The following is a 10908-nucleotide window of genomic DNA, read 5'->3' as shown; positions in this document are numbered from 1 at the left end:
AAAATATCATCTTATAACTTATGAATGTGTTGACTCCATTTGTTCCCATTCCCTAATCTGAAGAAGAGGAAAAATGGTTGATTTCACAAGTGGTTTTAGAAGGAAGCGCAAGAGTTAATTGATGAACAGTATTGAGTTCGTTTGTAGGAGAACTTGTCCTACTCATTACTGTGCCTGAGTAGAATGCTTTGCAGAGAGACAGGCAAACAACAGACACATACACATACACACACCGACATACACACACTTGCATACACACACATATACAAGGAAAGTGTCACAGGGTAATGTCCACCAAGAAAATCATATTTGGGAGCCCACTGTTGTGACTTCACAGTCACATCATAATCTATTGTATGACTGTTCAAAACATGATGTATGGAGTATGTTTTTTAGCCCTGGGCAATTCACCTTTTCTTTAAATACTCATGTCACATTTGTGCTGTTGCCAATGCTTCTCAGACCCTCCAGATGAGGTAAGAAAATAATTACAATAGATAAAAATTTTTCTGTTTTATACAAATAATTTATTGTGGGGAAAGTTACAAAATTAAATATGTATGTATTTATCAGTCAAATACTCATTTCATAGACGAAAGCACTTGGGTAGATATATATGAATGGGGTTATACTTGAACATAGTAATTTTTTTTTTCTGTAAGGGGACACTTTAAGCACTGTGGTTTTAAAAAGCTAAAGCCTGAGCTAAAAATACCCTACTATATTAATAGGAGTCTATTGACTATACTTAGGAATTTACTGATGCCAAAATAGTTCACCAAAATGCCACAGCGTGTTGCAAGAGAAAATAATAATTAGAACTCAATGAGCAACATAAGTCCTACATTTAGCTGGAAATAAATTTTATTTATAAATTGGAAAATCTACATGAAATATATATTATTTAACATTGGACTATTTTTAAAAAATAATTCATTTGTTTACTTATTTGTTTGCTAGAAGCATAAAATCAGAATTTGAATGATATACTTTGCATTTGTGAGTTGTACAGTAGAAACCATTGAGTAAGTTAACAGTGGAATTCCTATGTCATATATATTTATGTGCACATATAATATACACATGTATGTATATATCCATATACATATTTATATGCATATATGTATATATATAAAATCCTGTAGCTTGTTTTGTCCAAAATGACCTTTCAATAAAAATATTAAAGTCCTGGCATGATAATCAGTTCAAATTAATATCATACCAAGTGAAAATAGGCAAATTTACTCAATTACTACAGGCTGACCTTTAATTATTCTGATTATTTCTTGTTACTCTCTGAAGTAGCCTATTCACTGGAGCAAATTTTACTAAGTTGAAATCATCATTTAAATCTCATTCATATAAATTTAATTTATGCCTGATTCTGAATCAATTCCTTCCTACTATCCCCAACCCCGCCAAAAAAAAGTTATTGAATAGGGTCATTTTATTTACTTGCTTTTTTATCATTTGGGCAATAAAATTAATACTGCAGTTGTACTTTGAGCTACTAAAGCCCTTCTCAACAGACTGATCTTTTCAACATCGCAGATGTGTGTAGAGTCCTGGGCTCACATTTTTGGAATCTATCAAAAAGATGGGAGCCCAGTCTGAGTGTTCCTGTCCTTTTATGCCAGGGCCCTCAATGAATCTCATCCAATCTGGGTTATCTGAAATGATTTATAGTAAAACTGACTATATACATGTGGGCAGAGTTTGGAGAAACCATCAAGAGAAATTGCAGTTCCATGGAGCTAGTTGATGTAATAGTTAGAAGTCATTTCTGTAACCAAGAGAAAGACATTTTATAAAGAGATTCTTCAGATAACATCAGTGGCTATCTGAGTCACCAGCAAGGAGGGAGCTGGTGGGATAAATATTTAAACCCCACTTTCTTTCCTCCTTCAAATCTCTTGTCAAGGTCTCCCATTGGTTGAACCCACTGGAAGCCAGAGGTCGAGGGGACCACTGTTACAATCCTTACAGGTCAGCCTTTCTGGGCACAGAATAGAGGGTCAAGGACAAAGAGAGAAAGCATACTGGGAGTGGAGGGAAGCAAAAGCTATCTAGCATATACAATTATATTTCACTGAATTTTATTAGAAACTCATCCAGAGATGGGCTGAAACTCTTTTGGAAATACAGAGACTAATCCTTTTGAATCCAGTTTTCACTGAATCACTTTGTACAGGTAGTGAGAATGTGGATAATGATGGAAGAGAGAGAGAGAAAATACTCTAATGGAGGCTTAGTAGCACTTTGAGAGTTTTGAAAAAGTTTCTAATGAATAGCATTATTTATTGGAAATGAAATGCAAAATTTTACTCTACCAACCAAGAAACATCATCTTTATAAAGCATTTTTACCCAGTAGAGATTGTCCTCTTGACTGCAGCTCAAATGAAGAACTGGCTCAGCTTTCTTTCACCCAGATGTCCTTGAATCACCTTCACCTCTCGGACTAAAAGTTTCTTTATCTAAAAGTAGATAATATAGAAATCACCTTCATTTCTTCAGAAACTTTTTGGGGAGTAAGTGAGACAATAAATAAGGCAGCAAATAATATCCTGCAAAGGCTATACAATTTAATCAAAGTTGGTAGACTAGTGAGTGATTCTTACTAGAAAAATACAAAGAAAAAAATCTTTCTTCCTCAAACCTTGGAAGGAAGGTTTGCTCCCATGAATCTTTTTACTTGGTTTGAATTTTTCAAGAAAAACCAACATATAAGCTAAAAACAAGAAAGGTGAAGACAGGCCCTCCTGCCATTACACAGTTTCTAAAGTCCCAATTGTAAAATATGATAATAAGTTATTAATCAATCTTTGTTTATCTTAATGAGATAGCTATTCTCTGTGGGGTTTGTTCATACCATACAGGAAAAATCCTTCAGAATCTCCCACATGAAGATTGCAAGTGCAAATAATGGCCAATATTTGTGGAGTTTCCTTCTTGGCCAGTTAAAAATTTCCTCTGGCTTTAAAGAGCATGAAGTCTTTACAGAAGGTGTCAACAGTGATTTATTATAAGCTGAGTTAATTCTCTCTCAATTTAAAAACCTTGCATACGACATAATCACTTTCTTTCCCCCCACACCGAGGGAGCTGCTTATTCCACAATTCTCAAGACAGCTTCATCCAGACACTGGTCATGGTGAAATTTCAACTGTTTTCTTTGGAAATTTTTTTGTTGTGGAGGATGGGGCATGGAGTATAATTAGCAAGTATGGTGCTCACCCAAGAAAGCTTCAATATGAGAAAAACTAGGTGTATGTATGTGTGTGTGTGCATGTGTGTGTGTGCTGTGAATATATTAATATGTTTATAACTCTGTGCACCTGTATGAAACAGGAAAGCTTATCAGCAGCAGAGCAGTGAGAGGCCATACATAAACTCAGCTTTCTGTGATGCTTAGCACTAGTTAGACCTTGACTTTATCCGGTTTGTTGTGCTCTTACTTCCTCTGGGCTCATGAACTGAATAGAGGGAATCCAGAAAGGGGTCAGAGATGAGCTCAGATAACTTCATAATTGGAAAGTGAGACCCAAAAAGCAGTATTTAGGTAGTAGCAAATGTGGAGAGAAGAGAGAGACCTAGCTGGAGGTCATGACACCGTCTTTAACCACATGAACTTCCTAGACACCAGTGATCTTGTCTCCTCCAGTTCTTCTAGAGATAATTAAATAGAAGTTGAGCATTTAAGACACAGTTGTTATGGCTTAGTTGTTGGTATTGGGAGTAATGAGTACTCCTGAACTGCTCTTCTTAGGATTGTGACCCTTGTACTACAAAAGCTTAATGATTATGCTCTGGGCCATTTTAATCTGTAACAAGACAAAAATGATGATTTATCCCAATCTTCATTCTGCACCATTTAAGATGCTCAGAATATAACCTGCTTCAACCCAGATATCTATAGGATTCTGTATTTATTTGAGTATATCTATGTTTAGAAATAAAAGACATGTTCTCCTCTATATGTTTCTATAATATTCATTCAATACCAGGCAGTTTTTCTCTTTCCTTCTGAAAACTTTCTGATTTACATGGACACTAGCTTTTTTCTCAGCATCATCTGACTACTTCACTCCAGAAGGAAATATCAATATGAGAAAAATAACACTCCTGATATGATTTAAAAAAAAACCCATTACAAATACTTAAGGCATTTTCAACAACAAAAGAGAAAACCATTGAAGGCTTAGCAAATGATAGAACACGCACATCTCTGTCTCAAGCCAGCAGTGTTACTGTATATATTGGAATGTTTAAGCAGGGACATGTTATAAGAGTACATTTAAAGAAGGGTTTCTCATTCTCAACACTATTGGCTATTTGGGCTGGGTTATTCCATACAGATGTTTCCGGACATGGCCAAATGCCCTTTGTGAGGCCAAAAGGCCCTTATTTGAGAACTAATGATCTAAGTAGACGACACTAACTACTCTTATTTTGTGACTAAAATAAAATAGAAAATTTGGGGCCCTAGGTCATGATGATATGTCTTTTTGCCTTGAAACCTTTGCATCAGCAGTTATAATTATTATTAGTATTTGGTAGGCACAATGAAAAGCCCCCAAGAATCTGGATGTGAGGGAACTAAGATTTTTTCCTTAGAGAGTTAAACCCTAATATGAATGCACAGATATGCAGTCACATAGTTGTTTAATTTCCGTCATTCCAGGCAGAAAGTCCTTAGCAATTCTCAATTAAATGAAAGCCTGATTTAGAACCTTGAAAGAAGTTTCTAAATTCAGAAAACTGACTGAAACTATTTCTAGCACATGTTGTATCTGGACATCTATAGAAGTGTCTTGTGTACTAAAACCTATTGGGAGGATCTTTTAAACCTCTTCCCCACTATGCAAATTTCAGGCTGGCAACAAGATTTGCAAAGAAAATTGACTTTAAACAACATATACGAAAGCCTTTTCTACACCTATTGAGACCATCATGTGGTTTTTGTTTTTAGTTTTGTTTATGTGATGAATCACATTTATTAATCTGTATATATTGAACCAATCTTGCATTCCAGGGATAAAGCCTACTTGATCATGGCGGATTAGCTTCTTTATGTGCTGCTGGATTAAGTTTGCTAGTATTTTGTTGGGAATTTTTGCATCTGTGTTCTTCAAGAGTATTGGCCTGAATTTAAAAATTTTCTTTTTGTTGTTGTTGTTGTTGTTGTGTCTTTGCCAGGTTTTGGTGTCAGGATGATGCTGGCCTCATGTAATTAGTTAGGGAGGAGTCCATTCTCAATTTGTTGGAATAGTTTCAGTGGGAATGGTACCAGCTCTTCTTTATACATGTGGCAGAATTCAGCGGTGAATCCGTCTGGTCCTGGGCTTTTTTTGGTTGGCAGGTTTTTTATTACTGATTCAATTTTGAAGCTTATTATTGGTCTTTTTAGGGATTCAATTTCTTGCAGGTTCAATCTCGGGAGGTTCTATATGTCCAGTAATTTATCGTTTTCTTCTGGGTTTTTAAAGTTCGTGTGCAGAGAGGTATTCATAATAGTCTCCGATGGTTTTTTGTTTTGTTTTGTTTTGTTTTCCTGTGGGGTCAGTGGTAATGTCTCCTTTGTGATTTCTAATTAAATTTATTTGGATGTTTTCTCTTTTTTTGCTTTATTAGTCCAGCTAACTATCTATCTTATTTTCAAAAAATGAACTCCTGGATTCATTGATTTTTTTGTATGGTTTTTCATGTCTCAATTTAGTTTAGCTTTGATTTGGATTATTTCTTGTCTTCTGCTAGCTTTGAGGTTGGTTTGCTCTTGCTTCTCTAGTTCCTCTAGTTCCAATGTTAGATTGTTAATTTGAGATCTTTCTAACTTTTCAATTTGAACGTTTAGTGCTATTAACGTCCCTCTTATCAGTGCTTTGTGTGTATCCCAGAGATTCTGATATGTTGTATCTTTGTTTTCATTGATTTCAAAGAATTTCTTGGTTTATGTCCTAATTTATTTGCCCAATAGTCATTCAGGAGCAGGTTGTTTAACTTCCATGTCATTATATGGGTTTGAGTGATTTTCTTAGTATTGATTTCTATTTTTATCGCACTGTGGCCTGACACTGCTGGTAGGAATGTAAGTTAGTTCAGCCATTGTGGAAAGCAGTGTGTCAGTTCCTCAAAGAACTTAAAACAGAATTACCATTCAACTCAGCAGTCTCATTACTGTGTACATACCCAGAGGAATATAAATCATTCTACCACAAAGAGACATTCATGCGTGTGTTTATCACAGCATTATTTGCAATAGGAAAGATACCGAATCAACCTAAATGCCCATCAGTAGTAGATTGGATAAAGAAAATGTGAGGCATATACACCGTGGAATGCTATGCAGCCATAAAAAAGAATGAGATCATGTTCTTTGCAGCAACATGAATGGAGCTTGAGGCCATAATCCAAAGCAAACTAACTCTGGAACAGAAAATCAAATACCACATGTTCTCCCTTATAAGTGGGAATGAAACAACAAAACCACATGGACACAAAGAGGGGACCAACAGCCACCAGGGCCTACTTGAGGGTGGAGGGTGGGAGAAGAGAGAGAATCAAAAACTACCTATAGAGTACCATGCTTATCACCTGTGTAATCTTTACACCAAACACCCAAACACACAGTTTACCTATATAACAAACCTGCATATGTACCCACAAACAGAAAATAAAAGTTATTTTTTTAAAAGTATACAATGTTGAAGCTTAGCATAAACCTGCCTAAACAAGTATATTTTGCCATCTTAATTCCACATCTGATTTCCTTTCATTCTCAGCTTAAATGTATGCTCTACTAGAAACTGTATCATCAATAAATTGAAACTTGCTCCTTTCCATGTATTCATCATCTCTAGGAGTGATTCTTTTACTCCAATTCCCTTCATTATGTAATTATGGATCCCACTGTTGCCGCTCATCATTTATTTTCACAGCCTTATTGAGCCATAACAATCACTTCTAATACTGCTTCTACCAGTTTTAAACTTGATCTCTTACCACGTCTTACCTTTTGATCAATTGTCTCCATTTCCTAATGGCTTGGGTCTGGGAAGTCCAAATATTCCCCCAGAAATTAGCAACAGCAAATTTTAATCCTAGATTTCAAAAGTAGGGGCAGTCTTTACCACAATGGTGGGGTTCAGGGATTAAAGTGGAACAAATGGCATTGGATGTTTCTTTATTCCAAAATAATAAACACATGATCCAAAATGCATGAAATGTTTCTCTCCAAATACATTATATAACTAAACAGAGACCACAGCCTAACCATTGTGTTGAATAAAAAAAAAATTGCTGTATGTGTGCTCCTGGCATTGCTTCATCAGAAAGAACCATGGCTGAATAAGACAGTGTGGATGCCCCTCCTCCTCCTCTGACTTTACAGCCAGAGACTTACTACTCATATTTTGAAGTTGCCAGAACTTTTCTGCTTAAATCAAAATTAGCTTTGTTACAAATAAGAGAAAGCACTCATTATATCTTAGGCTAAAGAGGAAATGTGGAAACATGCAAGGGTATTTCGTATAACCCAAGACAGGAAGCACCAGAACTGGAAGAAGCCTTCCAAATGGTAGATGCTCCTTCCCTATGCCCAGTTGGGGCTCCGTGCAGGATATCTTCCTTTGGTCCTCCAGGTCTACTCTTTCCTCCTCTTCTCGCAGCTGTCTGCCCCTAGAGCATAATCTATATGAATGCCGTCACATGGCTTTCGTGCCTTCTGGGTTCTCGTTAGATTCAGCCAAAGGAGAGGCTTGGCAGATTAGTGATAACGAGGAGAGTGAGAGTGCAATATTTGGCACCCTTCTGTAGGTTCCTGTCAGTTGATTACTTCCCTTAACCACAGACCTATTTTCCTGATCCCTATGCAGTTTCATATGATGAATTATTAGAATCTTGCATTTCTCATTACAGCTACTACTCCTTCCACTTATCCTGCTAACTAAGCCCTCCTTAAATTAGCTGTATGTGAGTGTGGCATCTGTTTCCTTCTTGGACTCTAATTGACATACTGATAGAAACTCTTCTCTTCATCTCTATCTCTGTGATTACTGACTCTCTCTAACTCTGTGTGTGTGTGTGTGTGTGTGTGTGTGTGTGTGTGTGTGTGTGTGTCTGTGTGTATGTTTCTGTCTGTCTGTCTCTCTCTCTCTTTTTCTGATTACCCCCTCCATCACTTTTCTCTATTCTCGTAGATGGAGGAGAAAGAATATCACTTTAGCTCCTTTATATCTTCCCAGTTCTTGTGCCAACAGGACTCAACTGTAATAGCAATAATTAATGTTTTTTTTTTTTTAGTATGGCCCATTCCCTTTTTCTAAACTTAAAATGTATTCTCTCATTAATCCCAACAATAAACCACTAGTTCTATTATCACGTAAATTCACAGATGACAACATTGAGGCATAGAGAAATTGAATAACTTAATTATTCAATAATTAAGTCACATAATGCACATAACGAGAGGAAGAACCTGAATTCTAACCTAGGCAGACATATTTCAGAATATATATTCTTAACTACCATTTTTGGCAGTTTGATATTTAACTTAGACCATCTTGGGTTGAATGGTCAATATTTATTACTCAACTTGACACTGATGGGTTGATGAGGGGGCAAGATACCATTATTTACTTTCCAATGAGCTGGACCTTTGGGAGAAAACTTCCTGAATGGGGTACTAGGCAAAACAATAAAATTGACTAAAACATTTCTTATATTTCACTAGCCTGGGTATGTTATCCATACTTTTTCATATCCCTTGGAAAAGTTCCCAAAGAAAATGTGTATTCTGTATCATTGTTTTTAGTGCCTAGTATGGTGCTTCGTACATAGTAGATGGCCAATAAATATTTGTTGAATGAATAAATAAGTATAAATATAAATATATGCAGAATTGTATCTCTTGTATACACATGTCTTTAACCATTTTCTCCCTCCGGTGATGATGGATATATTATGAAAGTTATATCACAGAATGTGAGGGTATTTTATTAATTTCTCCATGTTGGGTAAAATCCAGGTTTCAGTATAGAAGAAGATGATGCGCAGTTAGGGATTATGGCATTGCCACCCTAAGATTCTTATTTTGGATCAAATCTGGAAGTAATAATAAATGCAAGACTGCACAATTATCAACAAGGTAAGATTTTTCAAAAGTGTTGAAACTGTGCAGACTTGTTCTCTCATCTTCCAAGAAAAGATGTTTATATCAACTTAAAATGAGATGAAAATGCCCCATATTAACCTGTATTATAATGAGGACATTACTAACATTTTAGGCACCAGTAATTAACCAAAGATATTGGGAAGGCAGTAGAGATGGGTGCCCATAGTGATGGGAGTGAAAATCGGTGGTGGTGGATATTATTGTACCATTTAAAAGGCAGGTCCTCTGTGCTCCTGGGACCCTGGCTGGAGTAGTGGCCCATGCCAAGTTTTTTAAGTAAAGAAGGCCACATGGTAGTTGAGTGAAATTTGATGTTTTGCTTAGTTGTCTCAGACATGTTTACTTTAGTAAAGGGTTATGGAAAGGTTGAATCAATAAACACTTTCTTTTCAGTCAGCAGACTTGCCATGGACATCAGTAGTCATGCTTAAAATGAAACTGGTATTTCTCCATGAATGGGGAGCCCTTCCTTGTTTCCGTGGAGAAAATGAGATACCATAGATGCTAAGGATCCAGCTGGAGACTTTGATACTTTTCATTTGATTCCACATAAGATTTTGAGAAGCTGGTAAATGAGAACACAAAGAATAAGGTTGTTTTCTGGTCTTTACAATCATTTTCCATAAGAAATAATAACTATATTGTGTAAATATTTTATTATTTGTATCCACTAACTTGTTCACTGTATCAAAACAAATGAGGATAATTTCTATAATCTTATAGCCCTAGTTCAAAAATGGATTTTAGGTCTTTTGTTCTAGTTTTACTTTAATCTTTCCATATAGAAAGCCTTTATAAACGAACAAATTCAATTCTCCCTGATAGCATTGTCTTGCCACATGTCTCTAGTAAAAATAAGGCAAAAATAGATAAACAAACTAGGAATTTGGAGCCTTAAAATTAGCCATAAAAATAAAAAAACATAAGATGAAAGAATAAATTTTTTCTGCAAATGCAACTATTAGACAATGAAGATAAATTGGTGAAATGAAATATATTTTTCAAACTTTTCACTTTCCTACTTTCCCAGATTTACCTAATTGATTATGCTGACTGAGTAAAAAGTTCATTTATGTAACCTTAATTCTGAACGTCATATATAAACACATGACAGGCTTGGAATACTCTTGTCTTTTGTGGGCATGACTGGCTGCTGTAATGTACATGCATAACAAAGCCACTGAACAGGGAAGTTGAAAACAATATAATTTTATGGTGTTTGCAGTTTGTTTTTAAAGAACTTTACTTCTTATTATACCTTTGACACCTACTCACCATTATTAGCCTGAGAGCTTGGTTTTCGGCAAACAAAAGCTTTCAGACATCTTCTTGGACCTAGTTCAACTTGACTATAATAAGGTGTTTATTTAATTTCTTCCCCTGTTTTGCTTATCGGGTACCCACAACACACAGGTGCAGATCAAGTGCTATAGTTTTCCCCCTTATTCTTGAATTGGAAGAAAATTATGAGGAAGTATTTAGTGAATTGGAGAAGGCCCAAAAGCTGGCGGGAAAGCTGGGCCATGACACCCAGATTATCATTGCCAGTGAAACCAACCTTGGTGGAATCATCTCATTTGTGCTCCAGAGTTAGACGGCAAAGGCAGTGAAGGCAGAAGAGCCTGGTTATGGACCAGAGATGAATGGGAGGCGTCTGATTCAGGATATGCAGAAAATCCAACAGCTCTGTTCTATCAATACGAAGAAGAGACCAAGATGTTGCTGAAGGAAATATCCT

At 36.1% G+C, this 10908-nt stretch overlaps 1 long non-coding RNA gene across 1 annotated transcript in view; it reads left to right on the top strand.

Moving 5' to 3' along the window:
* The first annotated feature begins 400 nt into the window (after positions 1-400).
* CASC17 (cancer susceptibility 17) overlaps positions 401-10908 on the top strand; it is a 104406-nt gene continuing 93898 nt past the window's right edge. Inside the window, exon 1 of the long non-coding RNA NR_104152.1 lies at positions 401-476. This is a non-coding gene — a long non-coding RNA (cancer susceptibility 17). The remainder of the gene's footprint in view (positions 477-10908) is intronic.

The sequence above is a fragment of the Homo sapiens genome, chromosome 17 (assembly GCF_000001405.40).
Source record: "Homo sapiens chromosome 17, GRCh38.p14 Primary Assembly".
NCBI lineage: Eukaryota > Metazoa > Chordata > Mammalia > Primates > Hominidae > Homo > Homo sapiens.
This window is presented reverse-complemented; position numbering and strand designations above follow the sequence as displayed.